The sequence below is a fragment of the Homo sapiens genome, chromosome 2 (assembly GCF_000001405.40).
Source record: "Homo sapiens chromosome 2, GRCh38.p14 Primary Assembly".
Taxonomy (NCBI): domain Eukaryota; kingdom Metazoa; phylum Chordata; class Mammalia; order Primates; family Hominidae; genus Homo; species Homo sapiens.
This window is the reverse complement of record NC_000002.12, coordinates 199,964,324-199,988,257: the sequence shown is the minus strand read 5'-3', so window position 1 is coordinate 199,988,257 and position 23,934 is coordinate 199,964,324. Positions and strand designations below refer to the sequence as shown.

Sequence of the window (23,934 nt, the reverse complement as noted above, 5' to 3'; positions counted from 1 at the left end):
GATGCTGCGAAGGCTTCTTCTCTGTTAAGAGAGACTTTTAGAGAAGATCTGGGAGACCACGGACCTCATGATTTCAACAGCAGGGGGAAAGTGTTTTGAAGCCGTAAGCCACAGCTTGAACGTAAGAATCCTTTAAAAAAGTTACGTTTAATGACAAAGAAATCAGCACAAATTTTCAGTGGTGAAACTGTCCTGCAAACCTGTGAGGTTAAACTGCAAAAGAAAACATTAATGGATGAAGCAGCCTATCCAAATAATTTAAACACCCTTCCGGAAAGCATTTGACACCATTTTTCATAAAAAATCTAATCTGCAAAAATATATTCTGGCATTTACAAGGCAAGCTATTTTAACCACAATGAGAAAAAGAATCCCCCAAACCAATTTTGAGATAGGCTATCGTATTACAGTCAATACTGTGGCCTGGCAGGAAGAACACTGAAGCTCATTTGAAATACTGTGTGCAGCTCTGATAAGGACATAAATATGGAGAAGGTGGAGCAGAGAGCAACCAAGTGATAAAGAGACTCAAAGGAGACATACTTTACATTAGCACATATCTTGCAAAATCAGCAACTGCACCGCACTTGGTCAGCAAAGAAGGGGATTTATGAGAGAATTTCATTGAGATGTTAAGAAAAAATCTGAAGGGATTACAAATGATAAAGCAACAGGGCTGCTTGACTTTGAATGTAAAATCAGGGTCTGCAAATTCAGGTGAATTGAAAAAAGGTTTTTAATGTTTTTTGTTTGTTTGTTGAGGAAGAGCTTGGAGTTGTTGACATGGGGAAAGGAGCCTTGAGCAGTGCTGAATGGGAAAGAGGGACAGCAGAATAATTGTCAGAACTGTGGAAAGGTTAAAGGAAGAAGAAAATAAATGTTATAGCATCTTTGACATGGCAGCATAGAATCGTCCCACCTTAGACTGGAGAAACAGATGCTTTCCTTCACAGATCCGCCTCTGAGTTTTATAGAGAGAGATGTTGCTCTTCTTGGGTCCACCTCATACTGGTTTTGCGTAATTCTGATCTATGATGCAGAAAGTAACTTGTTTCATTGTGATGGAAAATCTAGATCCCATAGATCAACTTCTTAATGCTCTTTCTGGCTTTTCTCTTCCATTATTTCAAGTCCAAGCCACCATTCAAGGTTCAGTTCAGATTCCATCTCCTCTGTGACATCTTTGCCGATCTCCCCGGTGGAAGTGAACTCTTCCAGCATGTACACCTTTCATATTCATTTGGCACTTTTTAACTGCCAGGGCGGGGCCCCCACCTAGATTATAAGAAATTTAAGGGCAGGGACAATATCTTATTTGTTTGTATGTTTTCCCTTCATACTTCTCACGCACTTTTTGGTAAGGGGCTCAAAAATGAGTTAGGGCTTGGTTAGTAAAGGACATAGAAGCATCTTATTACTTATTAATAAGCATGCTTATTACTTATTAGCTCATGACACCTTATTATCCTAGGTCTTGGTTTTCAAAGACAGCCAGGCAGTGAGGATCGGTGTGATAATAATAGTGGCTACCATTTATTGTGCACCTACTGTGTACCTAGCATCAGTTATATCGAGAGAGAGAGAAAAAAAACAAGAATTGCAGGGAAAACATGCCCTTTTGAGTGGTGAAAAGAAGCAAGAATAGAGAGCTGAGATCCAATCTAAGATGTGAAAATGGAAGAAATCAGTTTTCTTAGAAAAGAGAAAAATATTTTAAAGTGCTAAAGTATAGTTACATTTATTTTAAATTATTTCATTATGTTTGTATTATGTGATCATACTCTACCATATATATGTGTGTGTATATATATATGTATGTGTGTGTATATATGTGTGTGTGTATATATACATATATATCCATGTAAATGTATTTGTTAAAGTTCTAGAGGGACAGACACCTGCTGATAGCTGTGGTTTCCTCTAGGGAGTGGAGTAACTAAGTGACAGATACTCAAAGGAGACATAACTTACATGATCACGTTCAGTCTGCAGCGAGAAAAGGGGGTGATATCATTGAGGACTTTCTGTTGGCCTCTATTTATGTATTATTTTTATAACTGCATATTCATGTGTATACCAGTAAGAAGAAATACAGCACTTCGATTATTTTATCAGTGAGAATTAGAATTCAATATAAAGAATTTTTAGCTAGAGATTAAAGAATTGACAAGGCAAAAAAGGGGCCACTGAAATGTAGCAGAAATAATAACTGCAGAAAGTAGTCACCACTTCAGGCTGGGGAACAAAGGGAGAAGGTTGGGCTTGTTAGGATCTCAGAGGACAGATTCTGATCTTTGAAAAGCGGGTGTCCGCAGAGGCTGGGAAAACTGCACACTGGAATCAACTGCCTTTGCTGGGGTGAAGGGCTATGGCTGGGAAACCCTAACAGGAACAGGAAGCAACTGGTTCTTTCTCTTCCTTCCACCATGCTGTCTCCCCTTGGCGCCCTCTAATGGAGACAAATGGCTGAGCTTCCTTCTAAGTCCCACGGGCATGTGTGTGGCTTATTGATGAACCTCCCAATTAAGCTGTGCTGCAAACTCTACCGATCTAGGTGGATGACATTAACAAGTTAGCTCTATCATAGTCATAGGAGTCAGAAGTAGCCCTAAAGAAGTTAGAAATGAACCTGGCGCTTATGTATATAACTAGGTACGTTGGTTTGGTATAGAATACACACAAGACCCCAATTTTTTTTTATTCTATTTGTGGCCCTCTCCACTAATTAACTGGACAATTCTATAGAAACCACATAATGTCTTTCAAAATAACCATAGTAAGAATTAATTCCAGTATAGCACTTAACGATGTGACAGACACTAAGTGTTTTATGTATGTTAACTAATTTAATCCTTGTGACAACTCTACAAGGAGCAGGACTGTTAAGTAACTCATCCAAGGTCACTAATAGTAAGGGGCAGTCCAGGAAGTGGGCCCGACCATCTGATATAGAGATTATCTCTTTATTATCAAGCTTTGCTGCCTCTCACTTACATTGGGCTTATCATATGCCAGGTATGGCTCTACTCCCTTAAAATATAGAACAATCCTCTAAGGTAGGAACCATCATCCCCATTTTACAGATGAGGAAAACAAAGCCTGAAGGGCTATGAAACCCTCTGGCCTCCATTTCTCTGGCTGTTAAGTAAGGAGGCTGGACCAGCAGAAGTAAAAAGCTGGTTCTGTAAGACACTAGGAAAGAGCCCAAGTGTCCTGGCTCAAACACAACTAGAAAGAAAGACTCCCTTTATGTCTTTATAGACCCCCTGACCTCAGAGGATTGATGATAAAACAGTCTTGTATATGAGTACTAAAATTGCCAACTCAACAGAGGTTTTTATTCCCCGCTGTCTATTCTCCTGCCAGGAATTAGATGGGAAATAAAAAAAAGGGAATTAACAGCTTTAAAAAAAATCATTTAGGAAAATCTGTTTCTTGCTGTTGGCAAGTAGCTCTCTGGTCATAGCCGCATCTGAGTATATTCAGACTCCCTTAACATTAAACGGGAGTGTGGGGGTGAGGGATAACACACCCTTTTTATTGCTTTGCTTTTTCCCATTTTTATTTTCTGCTTGACTTTAATAGTTTCAGTCTAACACCAGCCTTTGAAATGGGTTAGTATTGTCACAGTGGAAAGGCCCAGAGCCCAGGGAAGCTGAAGACCTTGCCTGAGGACACCCACCTGGTGAGAACTGAGCTGGGATTTGAACTTGTGATTTTTACCTAAAGTGACAGTATCAGGACTGCCAAGACAAAAATTGATCTTGTGTTAGAAATTCTGTTTTTTAAATAAAAACTTTCCTATCACTGTGTAAGCTTATAACTCTTGACAAGCCAAGGATAGGGACATTGTTAAACTGCCAGCCCCTCAGCCAAGTGAGCTGACATCATTGCATCCCTGACAGACTCATGATAGCAAGTCACAGGCCATCCACGCACCATGCTGATGCCATTTGAGGTCCATAAGTGTTTAACATCCCCAGGACCTACACACCACGTGAGGGAACGGGCATGTGGAATATGGCAGTACCTGCAAGAGCCACAGGAATGGAGTGATTTTATAAGGATGGACACCTGTTTTCTTCGAAATGTTCCTATGCAGCGGGGGAAGAAAGTCCTCCTGGGCAAAAGCAAGTCCTCTCTGTTCTCCACCAACAAATAACTTTACCACACTTTTATAATGCCATTTTGGGCTTATAAAAATGTTCCTAATATAATCTGCTGGGAAATTGATGGCTTATGGCAATGACAAGAAGCCTGCCTCAGAGAATGATCTTAATTCATCATTTTGAACATCTGTAGAACCCCCTAAATTAGCCTGGAGAGGAATGAAAGTGAAGGGAGGAGAGCAAACCTTCCCAGGGAATGGGACTGGTATGATGCAGATTCCTGCTAATTTTCTCTAAGAGTTGTTAAGCAGAAACAGCAGAGAGAGCTGCTCCTATTTCAACCCTTCCCTTCTTCAGATATGCCAGAAGGTCTTAGGGAATTCTACACTCCTCTACAACACAGCTACCAACGGTATTATTCAATACCTCCTCAAATTTGAATATGAATTACTTTAATCAACAAAGTCAACAGTTAATTGAATCCAGCACTGTTGAAGGGAGATTGGAAGGAGATGGGGTTACTTAGATCAGGGTTACAATCCCACAGCCCTCACTGGATATGCAAATCTTTGCAGGTATTACACATTTTGTCTGGGTTTCTTCATTGAACAAACAGGGGTAATAATGCCCATCTTATTGGCTGATGAAACTATTAGCCATGATGCTTGGCAGTGCAATTTACAACATCTGGATAAAATTTTAGTGTATTCAGAATTATGTTGACTGACTAAATTTTAGTGCATCTAGGAGGCATGGCTATTGGTTTCCTATGGATGTCTTAACAAAGTACCACAAACGTAAAACAATAAAAGTTCTAAAGCAACAGGAACTTTTTCTCTCATAGTTCTGGAGGCCGGAAGTCTGAAATCAAAGTATCAGCACGGCCATGTTCCCCCTAAAGGATCTAAGGAAGAATCCTTCTTTGTCTGTTACAAGGAGGCTCCAGGCACTCCTTGGCTTATGGGTGCTTAACGCCAATCTCTGCCTCTGTCTTCACATGGTCTTCTCTCTGTGTCTCTGTGCTCTATCCTCTTCTTAAAACATCACCAGTCATTGGATTTAGGGCCCACCCTACTCCACAGTGATTTCTTCTTGATCCTTAAGTAATTACTTCTGCAAAGGCCCAAATAAGGTCAAATTCTGAGTTGCCAGGTGAACATGAATCTTGGCAGACACCATCAACCCACAAGAGCTGATTAAAGGGGTTAATGAGAAGGTGCAGTTGAAGTGCCACACATATTACCTGCACATTAGGGGTTTTTAATAAATAAAGGGAGTGGCTTTTGTTTTGTTATTATTGCTGCTGCAGGGATCATGATTGTTTTTCCAGGGAATGGAAGGAAAAGGTTGGATTTGGGAGTGGAAAGGCAGGCCTGAGGAGTAGATGAGGAGGGAGCAGCATAAAGACCCAGCGGAGAGAAAGGAGGAGCCTGAGAGAGGGGGGGAAGAAAGGGCTAAGGGGACAGTCCTTGCCTGGGCTTGCCCGGCTCCTGTGCCCTCAGATGCCAAGGCCTGGATAAGCAAGCAGGGTTGGTCAGGAAACCTGGACACCTCACCCTGGCGCAGTCTGGCACAGTCTGGTCCTGTCCCCATAGGGTGGTCCCACTTCCCTAAGAGAAAAGAAATAGGAATATGCAGAAAGAAACTATGTGTAAGTTTCCAATTCTTCCTCTCTGTCTATAGATATTTCAGAGTTTTTCTTGAGGGAGTGGGAGAAGAGTAGATTCTAGAAGGAACACTCTCAGAATGCTAGACCTTCTTGCTGAAAAGCAATAAATCTCAGTGCTGAGCCTGCACAGAAACTCCTAGGCTTTCAGAAGATTCCCGAGCCCTGGAAGTCAATCAAGCATAACAAAAATTGTAAAAGCAGCTGGAAACGCTGGGCCTCTCCTTCCCAAGGCCAGGATGACAGGCATCCTGGATGTGCTAAAATTTAGTCAGTCAACATAATTCTGAATACACCAAAATTCTACCCTGATGTTGTAAATTGCACACTGCCAAGCATCATGGCTAATAGCTTTTGAAAATTTTTTATTTTTTGATTTCAGTAGGTTTGGGGGGAACAGGGAGTATTTGGTTCCATGAATAAATTCTTTAGTGGTGATTTCTGAGCTTTTGGTGCACCCATCACCCCAGCAGTGTACACTGTATCCAGTGTGTAGTCTTTTATTCTTCACCATCCCTCATCCTTTCCCCAGAGTCCCCGAAGTCCAAGGTATCATTCTTATGCCTTTGAGTCCTCATAGCTTAGCTCCCACATATGAGTGAGAACATAACGATGTTTGGTTTTCCATTCCTGAGTTACTTCACTTAGAATATTAGTCTCCAGTTCCATCCAGGTTGCTGCAAATGCCATTATTTCATTCCTTTTTATGGCTGAGTAGTATTCCATCATATATATATGTGTTGATATTTACTCGTTGATATATATGTGTGTGTGTATATATATATATATGTACATATATATATATCAACGAGTACATAAAGACACTCTGGTATATACCAGAGTGTCTTTATGTACTCGTTGATTGATGGGCACTTGGGCTGGTTCCATATTTTGCAATTGCAAATTGTACTGCTGTAAACGTGTGTGCAAGTATCTTTTTATATAATGACTTATTTTCCTCTGGGTAGATACCTAGTAGTGGGATTGCTGAATTAAACGGTAGATCCACTTTTAGTTCTTCACAGAATCTCCACACTGTTTTCCATGGTGGTTGTACTAGTTTACAATCCCACCAACAGTGTAAAACTGTTCCCTTTTCACCACATCCATGCTAACATCTATTATTTTTTAATTATGGCCATTCTTGCAGAAGTAAAGTGGTATCACATTGTAGTTTCAATTTACATTTCCCTGATAATTAGTGATGTTGAGCATTTTTCCATATGCTTGCCAGCCATTTGTGTATCTTCTTTTGAGAATTGTCTATTTATGTCTTTATCCCACTTTTTGATGGGATTGTTTGGCTTTTTACTTGCTGATTTGTTTGAATTATTTGTAGATTCTGGATACTAGTCCTTTGTCAGATATATAGATTGTGAGTATTTTCTCCCACTCTGTGGGTTGTCTGTGAACTCTGCTGATTATTTATTTTGCTGTGCGGAAGGCTTTTTGCTTAATTAAGTTCCACTTATCTTTGTTTTTGTTACATTTGCTTTTGGGCTCTTGGTTGTGAAGTCTTTGTCTAAGCCAAAGTCTACGAGGGGTTAATAGTTTTAATATAAGTGTGGGACATGTTTATGTCACTGGAAAAGATGGAAGGGCAAGAATTGAGTCATGACTAAAATTATTGAGCACAAAGATTCCCTTTAAGACTGACTTCTTTTCTCCAGTCCTATTGGCCTCTCAGCCAGGTGTTAATTTTTTTTTTTTTTTTGGTACCATGAGCCCTTTTGCCAGTCTGGGGAAATCCATGGGCTCCTTCTCAAAATAATGTCTTAAACTTAATAAAACTAAATACATAAGATTACAAGGCAAACCAATGATATCAAAAGACAGTTATTAAAATATCAACAACAAAAACAAATTTGTGATATAATTCTGTATGTGCTTTTTTATTAATACATTAAATGACAAGATCCAGCAGTAGTCCTATAGCTACTGTAATTTTGAAGTCATGAGATGTAAATGGTATTTCAAGATATCTGCAACAACCGTAGTGGAATCTGTAAATATCTGTAATTTGTTGCCTATATTCATAATTGAAGAAAATGCTAAATTTCAGTTGGAGCTTAGTGAAAATAAACATATAGCGTTTTTCCCATCCAAGTTCACAGAATTTTATCCATGGAGATTTGTGCGCACCAAATTTAGAACCCCTGCTCTAAGCAAACTTTTCAAAGGCATCCAATTTTTGATGGGGCTCTACCAGCTAGCCTGAGCACCAACAGATTTATGTTTGCAAAGGACGCCCCCTGCAGGCCAAAAGGCTTGGGCTATTCACCCGAAAATTCATTTAATTTGCCGTGTTAGAAAACAATAGGTCAGGCAATTAATTCACTGACTCACATCAAGAAATGGAGAAAGGAAGACTACTTGTCAGCGAGGCCCAGGGGCATCTAATCAGCATAGATTTAAAAGCCCCTTTTGGCTTAACGGGAAAGTGCTGATGACTTGTGCTGTTGGTTATTAGCACAGGAGAACAAGATTGCTAACCCGGCAGGCTATTGCTAAGGGGGCTGCTTCCCCTGCTTCTGGTCAACAGCAGGGCGGCTCCGCAGATTGCTGAAAGGTTAGATTTCCCAATGCGCTGTCTGACCAAGGTCTTTAGGATCTGCTTTCAGTGCTTGGAGCTTGGAGCCAAGAGGAAAGGAAGGAGAGAGGAAATGAATTCAGAACTTACTATGTGCCAGAAACCTGCTATTTTCGCTTAGGCTATTGCACTGAGTTCCTAAAGCAACTCTACATGGAATTTATTATTATTGTTACTACTATTTACAGAGGTAACTGAGGCTCAGAGAGGAAAGTCGTCACTTGCCCATGGTCACTCTGAGCAAACAACTGTGTGGGTTTGAGTGGGTAGGGAGCCCATTTGCTGTCCAGTCTCTGCCACCAGGGACACGGCAGTGAGAATCCCACAGCACTGCCCACTCCTGTTAGCATAGAGTTCTGGAGCCTGGTTTGAATTCCGGACTTCCCCACTTACTAACGGTGTGAACTTAAGCAAGTAATCATGTGCCTCAGTTTCCCAATCTGTAAAATGAGGATAATAGTAAAGACTAAATGTTTACTATTATTTTACTAAAGTTACTATTACTTTATTAAATAGTAAATACTAAATGTTAAGCCTGTAGAACAGTGCTCAATACCTGTAGGCATTCAACAAATGATAGCTATTACTACTCTAAGACAATGTTGTCTCCTGACAACCATAGCAGCTACACAGCAGCTAACAGCCTAAACCAGTACCTCTCAACCACATGCAATTTTGTCTCCTAGGGAACTTTGACAGTATCTGGAGACATTTTGGTTGTCACCACCAAAAATGCATCTAATGAATAGAGGCCAGAGATATTGTAAAACATCCTAGAATGCACAGCATAGCCTCCCCACAGTGAAGGTTTGTGTGGTCCCAAATGTCAGTAATCCAAGACAGAGAAAGCCTGCCCAAAACTGAACACCAGTGAAGTAGAGACTATTTTGCCAGACATAAGGAGGTGCTAAATTGAAACTCTAATTGAGGAGAAGGTGCAGACAATAAAAAATAAAAAATGAACTATTAGATGATAATAAATGCTGTAGTAAAATAAAACAGGGTGGCAGGAGAGAGTAATGGATGTGGTTGCTTTGGATGGAATGGTCAGGAAAGCCTTCTTAGAGGAGGTGGCATTTAAACTATAACCTGACTGTCAGAAAGTGATCAGCCATTGAAGATCTGAGCAAAGAGCACAGCTGGCAGAGGGAGCAGTTCCTGCAAAAGTGTCAGGGGAAGGGCAACTTTGATATGACTGAGGAACAGAAAGAATAGGAAATTAGAGTAGTGGGAGGGAGGGAGAGAGTCAAATAAAATTCCAATAAGGCCCCAAAGAATGGCTTCCTTTGGACGAGGCTACTTCTTGGTGTATTCCCTCAGGAAAAAAAAATGTCTCAAAGTAATTGACTATAACTAAAATATGTGATTTTTTAAATGTGGTATAATTTTACATTGGTTTTAAAGTTGTTTACTTTTTGTTTCTGTTTTGCTTTAAGGAGTAATAACAAGAAGTCTCTTTCCCAGCACTGAGTTAGTTAATATGGTCAATTATTGATTTGCTTACTTCTGGTTTGAGATAAAACCACATTATGTCTTTCTTTTCTCTGCAGTATAGGGGATTATTCAGATGTGGTATCATAAGAAAGGAGACAGAGCAGTTTCATTTTGCACTGTTGAAGCATTTCAGCTGCCCTGAGTCAGATGTAAGACTGCAATGCACATTTTGAAAACCAGTAATGCCAGGATGGGGGTGGTGGGAAGGGCAGGCAGGGTGTTCTCTTAAACCCATGAACTTTGTCCATAGCCACTCTGCACTTAAAAAGTCAGAAGCTAGGGGATGAGTCATAAAAGGAAATCACCATCTAATTCTTGCACTGGTCTTGGTGAATTTCTTTACATGAAGGTAAAAAGTACCACAGGATTCTTTGCCTACATCTCATCTAAGGTATTACTAGTGAGAGAGTAGAATAATAGTCACAGGATAACCATGACTACATCTCACATAAAAGTGAGCCAGAGTTGCAATTTACTAAGCAAGTAAATTTTGATAGAATGTCCAATAAACTGATAGGTTTATAATAGGGAAGGAAGCGGGGAGGAGGTTACTTTTGAAGATGGGATAAACTGTATCCAGGGTCCTCTAGACAGGAACCTGTATGTGGTATAAACAACACGATGTGAGGGTCAGAGATCTGGACCTATCATTTGGAGCAACCCTTCAATGGCTCTAAAATCAAAAAGTTTTCTCTGGGTGCTCTACTTCATTTAAGTTTTTTAAATTACCCGGGAACAGACACATAGAGCAGTGAAACAGAATAGAGAACCCAGAGGTACGTCCACACATCTACAGTGAACTCATTTTTTGACAAAGGTGCCACGAACATACATTGAAGAAATGATAATTTCTTCAATAAATGGTGCTGGGAAAGGAGATACCCATATGCAAAAGAGTGAAACCAGACCCCTATCTCTTGCCACATACAAAAATCAAATCAAAATCAACTAAAGACTTAAACCCAAGACCTCAAACTATGAAACTACTACAATAAAACATTGGGGAAGCTCTCCAGGATATTGGTCTGGGCAATGATTTCTTATGTAATACCCCACAAGCACAGACAACCAAAGCAAACATGGACAAATGGGATCATTTCAAGTTAAATAACTTTTGCACAGCAAAGGATACAATCAACAAAGCAAAGAACAACCCACAGAATGGGAGAAAATGTCTGCAAACTACCTATCTAACAAGGAATTAATAACCAGAATATATTATATAAGGAGCCCAAACAACTCTGTAGGAAAAAAAAAAAACTAATAATCTGATTAAAAATGGGCAAAAGACCTGAATAGACATTTCTCAAAAGAAGACACACAAATGGCCAACAGGCATATGAAAAGGTGCTCAACATCATTAATCATCAGAGAAATGCAAATCAAAACTACAATTAGATACCATCTCACCCCAGTTAAAATGGCGTTTATCCAAAAGTCAGGCAATAACAAATGCTAGCAAGGATGTGGAGAAAAGAGAAGCCTTATACACTGTTGGTGGGACTGTATATTAGTACAACCACTATGGAGAACAGTTTGGAAGTTTTTCAAAAAACTAAAAATCCTACCATAGGATCCAGCAATCCCACCCATAGGTATATACCCAAAAGAAAGGAAATCAGTATATCAAAGAGATATCTACCCTTCCATATTTATTGCAGCAGTATTCACAATAGCCAAGATTTGGAAGCAACCTGTATCCACCAGCAGATGAACAGATAAAGAAAATATGGTACATATATACAATGGAGTACTATTCAGCCATAAAAAAGAATGAGATCCTGTCATTGGTAACAAGATGGATGGAACTAGAGGTCATTATGTTAAGTGAAATAAGCCAGGCACAGAGAAGTAAGTTTTGCATGTTCTCACTTATTTGTGGGAGCTAAAAATTAAAATAATTGAACTCATGGAGATAGAGAGTAGAAGGATGGTTACCAGAGTCTATGAAGGCAGAGATAGGAAAGTGGGGATGTGATAGGAAAGTGGGGATGGTTGGTGGGCACAAAAAAAATAGTTAGAAAGAATGAATAAGATCTAGTATTTGCTAGCACAACAAAATGACTAAAGTAAAAAATAATTTAATTGTACATTTTGAAAACACTAAAGGAGTATAATTGGATTATTTGTAACACAAAGGATAAATGCTTGAGATGATTGATACCTCATTTACCCTGATGTGATTATTATGCATTGCATGCCTGTGTCAAAATGTCTCATGTAATCCATATATTCACCTGCTATGTACCCACAAAAATTAAAAATAAATTAAAAACTTTATGTAAGAATTAGCTTAGCAAGGCCAGGCATGTTGGCTCACACCTGTAATCCCAGCATTTTGGGAGGCCAAGGTGGGTGAATTGCTTCAGTCCAGGAGTTACAGATTAGCCTGGGCAAAATGGTGAAATCCCATCTCTACAAAACAAAACAAAACAAAATGCAAACAATTAGCCAGGTGTGGTGGTGTGTGCCTGTAGTCCCAGCTACTCAGGAGGCTGAGGTGGGAGGATCACCTGAGCCTGGGAGATCACCTGAGCCTTGGTGAGCTGTGATTGCACCACTGTACTCCAGCCTCGGTGACAGAGTGAGACCCTATCTCAAAGAAAGAAAAAATAGCTAGGCAATATTTAGGGCTATTTCCAGACCGCAGTTAGAAGCCACCATGGTCTGTCAGTGAAGCTGGGGAAAGCAAGTCTGTCAGCTATTTGGCAGGGTCTGTGTGGCTTCATGACTCAAGTAACCCAATTAGGGCAAATTGCTAGAAGCCTATAGCCAATATTCATTCTCCCCCTCCTCCTCAGTTTTAGGACCTCTAGTTTTATTTGAGGCAACAAAATGTACCCAGCTAAACAACTATATTTCTCAGCCTCACCTTCCCAATTACATGTGACCATATGACTAATTCCTGGCTGATGAAATTAAGTGGAAATGTTTTTTGTGCCTTCTGGGAAAGCATCTTAAAAGACAGCTGATGTATATACCCCTTGCCTGTTCTTTTCTTTCCTCCGTTCTGCTCCATGGAATATGGATATGAGAGCTGGAGCTCTACAAGCCATTTTTTAATATAAGGACACATATCATGCCCTAAAGAAGATAGTTGTGACTAGAAGGAGCCTAGATCTCTGAGGACTCTGTGGAGTTGGCATACAAGCCCCAAAGCATCATATCTCTGAATCTCTATTAGTGTAAGAGGAAACAACTACTTCTATATTATTTAAGCCATAATATTTAAAAGTTTTTGTTTCGTGCAGTTATTTAATAGAAGTAATCCTAAACAGTATGCCAATCATTTGCATAATCTGCCCACATTGTGAAATTAAAATGGCCAATATCAAGTACTCTTACAAGGTCTTATGTAAGTTTCTTAAAATTTGAGATAATGAACAATTTATAATAATATTGACATAACCAATTTTGTTGTTATTGTTGTTTTAGAAACAAGGTTTCACTATGTTGCCCAGACTACTGCTAACCTCAAACTCCCACACTCAAGCAATCCTCCTGCCTCAGCCTTCAGAGTAGCTGGGATTACAGGCGTAAGCCACTGCTTCCTCCTAGGTGACCCCATTAATCTAATGAGTGTGTTAGCACACCTTAGCAGATCTCATCAAATGGAGATAATGGATTCAAGGGCTCTATAGCCTTTCTCACTTAAACTGGTTTAGACATCTGCAATCATTGTTACACTGAACGAGTGATTCTCATCTCCAGACCCCCATAGCAGAGTAGTCAATAATGCTCAGTTAATAATGTGTAACTAAAACACCTGGAAAGTCTCTCTCTTGATCTCTGTGATGTAAAACCGTGTGCTTTTTCTGCATGTGGTAATCATTATTGCATCTCACCAAATACTTCTTACCCTCTGCCTTCCAGGAACATGGCAGATTTGTACTTCCTGGGTCCCTATGGTTGAGTGAGACCATGTTCTGGCGAAATAATTGTATCACTTCCAGGTTCACCCTTCAGAGTTGTCTTTTCCATTTGCTATCATAGCCGGTAGTGGCTTCCCATCAGCCTGTGTCCGGGGAAGAAGATGAGCTGGCACTGAGCAGAGTCCCCAGGTGTCTCTTACTGAACATACAGTGTGAACAAGAAACAAACCTTTTTGTTTTGTTTTGTTTTGTTTTGTTTTGTTTTGTTTCAATCCACTGAGATTGAGAAGCTGTTTGTTAATGCAGCATAATCTACATTATCCTGACTGATACATCACACAGTCTTCCCAGGATGGGCATAATTACAGAGGCACTGAATGATACAATCTGTGGTTCCAGCAGGGATATGGGTAAAATTTCCCTCCAATTTGACCCATGCAATTAACCACTTTAACATCAACAAATTATATTCATAAAATATTTTTGTGGAGCAATTTCCTAAAACACATCTATGTAGAAAAATCTGTCAATAAGCAAAGCAATCTTCCCCTTCCTTAGCGGCTTCAAATCCTACCAAACTTACAGCCAATCCTGGCATTTAGATTCCATATACAGTTAGCTCCATCGTGTGGAATTCAGAAAGAATGACATTTGTTACAGGACCATGAAAGTGAGGTCAAACATCCAATAATACCATATACTCCTTGAGAGGGGTACTGTACATGATTTTAAAAATCACATCCAGCTTGCTAGGGTATCAAATCAAAAGCAAGAGGGAAAAAGTTCCTGCCATGTGAACTAGGAAGTTCAACAGAAGTGAGGCTCACTCTTATTTATCCGGTCAACTAATATTTACTGAGCTCCACTTTGTATGAGATATTGTTTCAGGGCCTGAAACAATATCTTTGTATGAGATATTGTTTCAGTAGTGAACAAGATAGGTAAAGTTCTTTCCTTAGTTCCAAAGACAATGGGAGAAATAAACAAACACATCCTACAATGTCTGATCGTGATAAGTGCTATAAGCCAAAATAAATCAGGGTTAGGGCATAGTGATGGGGAAAGAATTATTTTAAATAAGGTTGACAGAAATAAAGGCAAACAATCCACATTTAGCTTTCCCAAAGTTATTGTAGGTAAATGATCCAAAATCTCAAACATGTATAAACATTCTCTTACAGACATAAAATGAGAAAACACCTCAAAATGCTCAAATCTTGGTTTTCAAATTCATCGCCCTAAAAAAAAAAAAAAAAAAGACTCCTTGGAGAAATGGCTGATTCCAGCTCTGAGGCAGGAAATGGACAAGAAGATCCTGAAATGTATTGTTACATTGGAAAACACAGGCGCACTCAAAGACTAACAACAGAGTCATGTTCATCTTTAATCTGTCACACAGACAGATTACAAGGACTCCTGCTGGCAAAACTGGGGCATATTTAGGCATCAACAAGAATAATAACTATAATTGATACTACATTGGATGAATAAAAATCCATGAGTTTAGGCTGGGTGTGGTGGCTCATGTCTGTAATACCAGCACTTTGGAAGGCTGAGGTGGAAAGATCATTTGAGCACAGGGGTTCAAGGCTGCAGTGAGTATGATCCTGCCACTGCACTCCAGCTTAGGTGACAGAATGAGACTTCATCTAAAAAATGAAAGAATTCATGAGTTTCTAGTGATATTTAAGAAAAATGAAGGGATAGGGCTCTGTTGTATCAAAGAATGCCAATAGCAGGTATTATAGAATTAAAGAATAATCATTTGGCAAATTATAAGGTAACACTGATTCATATAAGGATCATCTTCTGTATTAATTTCTTGTTGCTTATGTAACAAACTACCACAATGTAGTGGCTTAAAACAACACAGATTTATTATTTTGCAGTTCTGGAGATCAAATGTCTAAAATGGGTCAGTGTGGCTGCGTTCCTTCTAGAGGCTCTGGGGAGAATCTGTTTCTTGCCATTTCTTGACTCTAGATGCTGTCCACATTCTATGGCTGTCATGGCCCCTCATAGTTCCAACCTCTGCTTCCATCATCACATGTCCTTCTCTCTGACGCTGACCCGCCTGCCTCCCTTTTATAAGGACATCTGTGATAACACTGGGTCCACCCACATAATCCAGCATAACCTCCCATCACAAAATCCTGAATTTAATCATACCTGCAAAGTCCTATTTTGCCAACTAACCCCTGGAACACATGTTCACGTGTTCCAGAGGTTAGTATGTGGGCATCTTGTGAGCAGAATATTTACCAGGTATCAAAGTATCATCTCACAGATTACTTATTAACTATAAAGAGAAAAAAATGACTTTTACAACTGAGGGTTCTCATAATCACCACTCTAAACAATGGAACAATAAGAAATTAGGTACTGCCTGACGTTATATAATAGGAGGTCCGCAAATCACTTATATATTCTTGCCAAAAATGTTTCACCTGAATCTAATCAACTCTTTCGCCCTAACTTCCAGCTTACAGAAATGATGCCATAGAAAAACAAGCACATTCAAGATATGGGACATGCTGTGTGTCTACCATTCTAGACTTCTCCAAATTGCAGTGCCATAAATGAGGATGGGGATATTCTAAATTTTGAAACAAGGACTAAAGAGACATAACCAAATGCAACGGGTAAACCTTGACTGGATCTTGAATTAAAAAGTCATTTTAAAGACAACTGGTGAAATTTTAAATTTAAGTATTAGCTGATACTATGGAATTATTGCTAATGTACATGTGGTTATATAGGATAGTGTCCTTATCCTTTGGAAACACATATTGAAATATTAGGGTTGAAATATTAATACATGATGTCTGAAGCTTACTTTCAAATGCTTTCAATGAAAATATTTGGTCAAACACTATTCTAGATGTTTCTGTGAAAGTAGTTTTTGATGAGATTAACATTTAAACCACTATACGAATGTTAAATTTCTCTATATATGTTTCCATAGTTATCTATGTTTCTCTCTCTCTCCATAGATATGAGATAGATAAATATAAGTTTTGTTTCTCTGGGGAACTCTAATACAATACCCTTCTTTCAACTTTTCAGTATGTTTGAAATTTTTTCTAATGAAAAGTTAGGGAAAAAATTTAATTCAGATAATTTTTTAAAAACATTCAGGAGTTTTTAAAAACATTTTCCTGATCTAGCCAATGCTGACATTCAGGAGTTAAGTGCGTTATTTTGTAGCTCATAGCTATTCTTCTAGGAGAGAAAATTAGTCTTAATGGAGAATAGTCTGAGGAGCCTAGCCAACTAAAAATAAGCATCACCTGTTAGTTTGCAAATATTTTTGAGAATTTATTGTCTTAGTGGCTATGCTCAGTCCTGGGAAAAGAGTGGTAAGCCACCCAGAAGTAGTCCTTTCTAACTTCTTCCTGTGTCACTGTGTGTCCCATACTTGGCAAGCCAAGTTCATTTGGGTCAAAGTAGAACACATCTAACTAGTTCTTGATTTTAAGAGAATCTACAGGTTTTCTGATCAGGGAGCCTGTATTGATGATATAGCCACTTCGGTGAAAGCCAACAGTGACAGCTTCATATTTCAAAAGTCAGACAACTCCAGTGAACATGATATAAACTCTTTTCTTCCTCTGTTTGTTCCTCTGTGTGGTGTTCCTCACACCAACACAGAACACATTTAGAAAGCTTATTTAAAAACATGTCAAGTTCTCAGAGAGAGAAGAAGAATGGTTACCAGAGGCTGGGAAGGGAAATGGAGGTGGGGTGGGGGAGTGGGGATGGGGATGGTTAATGAGTACAAAAAAACTAGTTGGAAAGAATTAATAAGAGTTACTATTTGATAGCACAACAGGGTGACTATAGTCAATAATAATTGTACATTTTAAATAACAAAAAGCACATGATTGGATTGTTTGTAACACAAAGAATAAATGCTTGAGGGGATGGGTACCCCATTCTCCATGATGTGATTATTACACATTGCATACTTATTTCAAAACATCCCATGTACGTGCACCCCATAAATATATAACCCTACTATGTACCCACAAAAATTAAAAATAAAAAAATTTAAAAATAAGAAAATAAGTTCTGCTTTGGCCATAATAAACATTTATCCTGATGCCTTAAACACTAGACAACTCAGCAGATTACATGAAACTACTGTGCTCAAACACTGGACAGTAGGAAGCACAGTATTTTTATCTATGAAAGAAGAGAAACGAACAAGGCAGATCCTATGATAACCCAGATTTCTGTGTGGGGCACTTTCTAGACCACCCAGCCAGGGAAAAAAATCCCCAGCAAAACATGATAAACTTGCTGAATTGAGGAGACAGACATGGAAGGCCATGGAGTCTGAAGAGGCCAGAGGTGTAAGGCAAATGTTCAGACAGGAGCAAGCTATGCGGAACAAAACTTCAGAAGTTTGTATAGTAATTTCCTTGAGTTTTTAGTGAACTCTAAGCTATGAACAAAAGCTATAGAGTGAGACTCTATAAAGTCAAGCAAAGAGTGACTAGAAGCTGTGAAGTGAACAGTTCTCAGAGAGCCTGTAGTGCTGGGAATTCATTTGGGTTCCCTAAGCCAGCATGGAGAGTGCTGTCCTGTTTGATAACTCAGGGCATCCAGTAGAGACCCCATAAATTACTCCATACAAATGGGGCTACACTCTTGGTAGAGTAAAAACTAGTCTAGATAAACCCTAACAAAGCTTAACAATAGCCTCAAAAAAATCAACCTGAACCCCAAATAACCTAACTGGCTACCTAAGAGAACACAGTTCAACATTCTTCTCAAGGCAAATACTACCCAATGATACCCAGATATTCAATGACAGAAAATTCATAAATTCAGTGTCCAATAAAAAATTACTAGACCAGGCCAGGCCTGGTGGCTCACACCTGTAATCCCAGCACTTTGGGAGGCCAAGGCAGGAGGATTGCTCGGTCCAAGAGTTCAAGACCAGTCTGGGCAAAATAGTGAGAACTTGTCCCTATTTATTTTTTAAAAATTACTAGACCAGCCAAAAGCAGGAAAATGTGGCCCATAACCAAAAGAAAAATCACTTACTAGAAAGAGATTTTAAAGAAAGACAACTTTAAAACAACTGTTGGGCCAGGCAGAGTGACTCACACCTGTAATCCCAGCACTTTGGGAGGCAGAGGCAGGCAGATCACTTTAGCTAGAAGTTTGAGGCCAGCCTGGGCAATATAAGGAGACCCCATCTCTACAAAATCTACAATAATTAGCTGGACATGGTGGCATGCACCTTAGTCCCAGCTACTTGGGAGGCTGAGGTCGGAGGATCACTTGAGCCTGGGAAGCAGAGGTTGCAGTGAGCCAAGATCACACCACTGCACTACAGCCTAGGCAACAGAATGAAACCCTGTCTCAAAACAAACAAACAAACAAACAAAAAGCTGTTATAACTATGCCCAGCAAGTTAAAGGAAAACATGAACATAGAGAAGCTATGAGAAAGAATCAAATGGAACATGTAGACATGAAAACTAACACATCTGAAATAAAGCTGACATAATTCCACTCCCACCTTTCACTAACACAACACACTCTTCCTCAAAAATCCCTGTAAGATCAATGGTTTGCTCTGCTTGACAAGACTCCTCCCTTACTAAGGTAATAAATCAATTCAAATTTGGGGTTTTATATTGATTTTCAGTGGTGGTCTCATATTTTGACAACTATGAGGTTCCACCAAGGTTATTTTGATGACTCTAACTTAAAAATAAATAAAGGTGTCCTCATCAGGTCCCTTTGTGTCCAGATTTCATTTATCCTTTGGATTTGTTCCAAGTATATTTGTCTCAATATTGATCTGTACTCTGACTCTCAGTGAGCATGTATTGTTGAGTTTGTTAAATGAGGATTCCTATCAAAATAGTTCTTTGTAGATGGCATTGTCAATATTTTGGCCATTAATTTCATTATTCTTCAAGCGTGTGCTTGTTTTGCTTTAGTGCATCTACTAGTACAGAGTCTTGGCTTAGGACTTTTTTTTTTTCCTGTTTCTTTGTCTTTCATAGTCATTTTATTTCTTGGATATATAAGGGGGTTCTACATAGGGAATGAACAAAGGAATAAGTCCATTCAGCCTCCAATTCAATCCAAGTTGAGTCCAAGGACTATGAATTAGAGGTCCAGTAGACAATGACAAATTCATGATCAAACTTTGCCTTTTGTCCCCTAAACACCTTCATAGGGACACTTCCTCTTTTATCAATTAATGAAAGGCCATTTTGTTTAGTCCATATGCCAGGGTAAAAAATTGTCATGTCATTCATTGCATAGTCCCTTCTTAGCCCCAGTTGGTAGGTAACCCGAGATGCTATTCTTTAGCATATATTTTTGTTTGACTATAATGGCTTCTTTCTTGTTTGTCATGAATTTTTCTAAATTAAAGTCATAACTTCTTACTGGCAGAACTACTTTTTATATGAATTCTCACTAAAATACTAACTCACGTGCTCACCCTAGTACAGCAAAAATATTTTTAACTCAAAGTAGCAATGATTACCTTGGGGGACATTCTGATAGTCAAAATTAATACATTTAAGCAGAGCTCTAGAAAAATGAGGAAAACTAATAATATTCACAATTCAGTAGTCAACTTCTTTGGTGTGTCGAGACCTCAAAACAAACAGTTGATGAGAAGATAGTCTCTTTCAAAGACTCTCTAATTTCCTATCATTCAAGCCTTCTGAAACTATGCTCCGTATATAGATGATATCGAATTCTCATCACTCAGTCATATTCTTTCAATTCCTTCTACTCCTGGTCTCCTAAATGTCTAAATGTGATACCCTTTCCTCAGGACTTTTCTCAGAAAAGGTCATTGTATAGTATTCTCCTTAGACTTGCTAGAACAGAAAGCAGGATCAATAGAAGCTGAATTTAAACCTTGGTCTAGAGCATCAGTAAGACTAACACAAATTCGCTGCAGAATTTGGAATTTTGTTAGATAGACATTATTTTGGACTATTTAATTTATATAGCTTGCTTAATTGCTAGTCTCTCAAAAGGGAAAAATGGTTAAAAGCAGCAGGATGGGAAACACCAGGAGGAGATTTTCATCACTTAGCTGTGTATAAGTGAAGAAAATGGCTTTGAGAGGGAAAATAGATGTATATATAGTACACTATATAGGGACATGCAGTTTTTCCTTTACGGATATGAACAGATTCAACATTGTAAGCAAAGTGAAGACAAATTAATACAAGACTTTAAAGATGGATTTTAGGAAAGTTTCAGTTTGAGTAGACAGTTGGAATAGCCCCAATATATGAAATGAAGGGAACCTTATCTGTCATTGTAATGGGCTGAGACTCAAAACAGGGGTCTTAAACAGCAATTGCACAATGGAATGGAAAATTGCCAGTTTAGGAGAGTTCCAACATGTAGCTGAACATTTTCAATGAGCTTTAAAAAGGAAACTAGCTGAAAATTAAACCAAACTTATCACCCTTCAGATAAAGTAACTGGCTCCAAGTTAAAAATACCAAAAGTCCTCTGTTCTTTAAAAATAAAGAGCCTATGGCTAGGAACACCTGTAGATGTTGTAAGCAGAAAAGCCAGTGAAGGAAACAATGGGCGATATTTTGAACAAAATATGAAAGAAACAGAGTTATCCAAGATTTGTCCCTGCTGTAAGAGAAAACTCAGCACCCAGCAATTTTCTGTCATTCCTCTAAAGTCCCAAGGGGAATTGTCTATAAATACAGATGGACAACAATGCAGCTTTTATGTTACTAAACATGCCGCCTATCTATCATTAATTCTACTTCCGTAGAATATCAGATTGCTCAGAAAAACATTTTAAAGTTGAAGAGCCAGAGGAAAGATGAATTGACTTGTACTACAAGTTCAGAAGAGGGGAAAGGGAGTTTTGTCTTAAAGTGAAAATGTTTGGTTGTGCAATAATGTGAAAGAAAATAGTAACAAGCAAACTTGAGGGTGTATGTAAGTTGTAGAAGGCTTGATGAAAAGTGGACTTTACTTGGCCTTGTTTTACTAAAGCAATTCAGAAGTGGGACTTTCTATCAATCCCAAATCTTTTCACCAGACTCAATATTTAAATGTTACTTTGGGACTACTATGAGAACATTCCTTTCTTCTTTGTGACATAAGTCCTATCTTACATGGAATTTCCAGATAAAATAAAGCAGAAGGGTTATTTTTAAGGCTCCCTAAAATTTTCCCTCATGTATACACTTACTAACTGGTCTATGCATTGGAAAACTTTCACTATATAAAATTCAAGAAATAACTACAGAATTATCTATGGTCCACAGATGAGGTCAGAATATTTGCAATAAAGGCCATAAGAATCCATTGACTCGTTCAAGGTTATCATAAAAGTTCAGTTATATAGGTGTGTGAAAAGATAAAGCTCTTCTCCCTAGGGGCCATAACAGCATGAAAATTGTCAAAGAGCCATTGCATGTTCTCCTTGTTTCAAAGATATGGTAGTCTCAGCTAATTTTGTTAAAACCTTTTCAGATCATCTTTCCCAATCTGTGAACTGCCTTTTAATTATCTTACTGTTGTCTTTCAAAAAGTTTTAATTTTAATAAATTCCAAGTTATAAATTTTTTTTGTTTCATGGTTCATGCATTCTATATCCTAAGAAAATCTTTGCTAATCTCAAGACAGCAAATGTCTATTTTTTTTTTTCTAGAATTTCTAGGTTTAGCTTTTGTTTAGGTCTATCATCCATTTTAAAATCTAAATTTTTCACTAAAATTATGTATGTGATGTAAAAGTCGAGGTTCATTTCTCATATGAATATATACTTATTCCATTTGTTGAAAAGATGCTTTTCCTCTTTGCTTTGGTGCCTTTTTGTTTTGTTTTCTTTTCTTTTTAGACAGGGTCTCACCCTTTTGCCCAGACTGGAGTGCAATCACAGCTCAGTGCAGCCTCAACCTCTCCAGGCTCAGGTGATCCTCCCATCTCAGTCTCCCAAGCACGTGGGACTACAGGCACACACCACCACACACAGCTCATTGTGCCTTTGTCAAAAATCAATTGTCCATATATGCATGGGTCCATTTTTGAACTCTATTCTGTCCATTGGTCCTTAACATTTCTTATAAAACATGTCCATTGGCAATCAATTGTCTCATCTTTTCTCTGAGTCTTCTCACTTTTTGAAGATTTCTGCTGAATATCAAATTCTAGGTAAACCGGTTATTTTTTCAGCACTTTTAAGATAGCATGCCAAGGTCTCTAACTTGCTGTTTAAGAAAAATAGGTAGCTATTCTTATCTTGGTTTCTCTGCATGAATGTACCTTTATTTTTTTCCTCCAGCTGCTTTTGCAACTTTCTCTGGTTTTCAACAATTTCATTATGATGTACCTTGATCAGACTTTTTTCTCTGTGTTACCTTGTTTGTTGAATTTCTTGTAATCTGTGGGCTTATAGTTTTCATCAACTAGGACACTTTTCAGCCATTATTTCTTAACATACTATTTTTGTTTCCACTACTCCAACTTCTAGGACACAAAATACAAGTATATTAGAATAGTTGATATTATCCCATAGGTGGCTAAGACACTGTCCTGTTTTTTTCTCTCTCTTTGTATCTTAGCATGCTTTTAAATTCACTGATTTTCAGTTCTGTAGAGACCTATCTGCTATAATTTCATCTATTCCTTCTTACCTAGCTAGTGACCAAAGAGGCCAAATAGCAGCAGTGATTAAAAAATAAATGAATAAATCTTACACATACTTAAAATAAAGGTATAAGGCCAGGCACAGTGGCTCACGCCTGTAATCTCGGCACTTTGGGAGGCCGAGACGGGCGGATTGCCTGAGGTCAGGAGTTCGAGACCAGCCTGGCTAACATGGTGAAACCCTGTCTCTACTAAAAATACAAAAAAAAATTAGCTGGGCATGGTGGTGCACACCTGTAGTCCCAGCTACAAGGGAGGCTGAGGCAGGAGAATTGCTTCAACCCAGGAGGTGGAGGTTGCAGTGAACTGAGATCATACCACTATACTCCAGCCTGGGCAACAGAGGGAGACTCCGTCAAAAAAAAAAGTGTAAATGTATTAGCCACAAATAAAATATTTAAGAACTATTAATTTAGAAATGTGTAAGTAGGCTGGGTGCAGTGGCTCATGCCTATAATCCTAGCTCTTTGGGAGGCCGAGGCAGAACCACTTGAGGAGTTCAAGACCAGCTGGGCAACATAGTGAAATC

The 23,934-nt window shown here is 38.7% G+C and overlaps 1 long non-coding RNA gene across 1 annotated transcript in view, besides 2 other annotated features; it reads left to right on the top strand.

Annotated features, from left to right (window-relative positions):
* LOC124906112 (uncharacterized) overlaps window positions 1-17,661 on the top strand; it is a 204,201-nt gene extending 186,540 nt beyond the window's left edge. Inside the window, exon 3 of the long non-coding RNA XR_007088012.1 lies at window positions 16,214-17,661. This is a non-coding gene — a long non-coding RNA (uncharacterized LOC124906112). The remainder of the gene's footprint in view (window positions 1-16,213) is intronic.
* Window positions 7,866-8,396: an enhancer, noted in NCBI's record as "OCT4-NANOG hESC enhancer chr2:200844585-200845115 (GRCh37/hg19 assembly coordinates)". NCBI's record gives its function as "activates a minimal SCP1, AML or CMV promoter by ChIP-STARR-seq in naive H9 embryonic stem cells {active_cell/tissue: H9 hESC(naive)}" and the evidence as "EXISTENCE:reporter gene assay evidence [ECO:0000049][PMID:30033119]".
* Window positions 8,041-8,100: a silencer, noted in NCBI's record as "silent region_12222". NCBI's record gives its function as "represses an Ori minimal core promoter by ATAC-STARR-seq in GM12878 lymphoblastoid cells {active_cell/tissue: GM12878}" and the evidence as "EXISTENCE:reporter gene assay evidence [ECO:0000049][PMID:35858748]".
* Window positions 17,662-23,934: the final 6,273 nt, after the last annotated feature.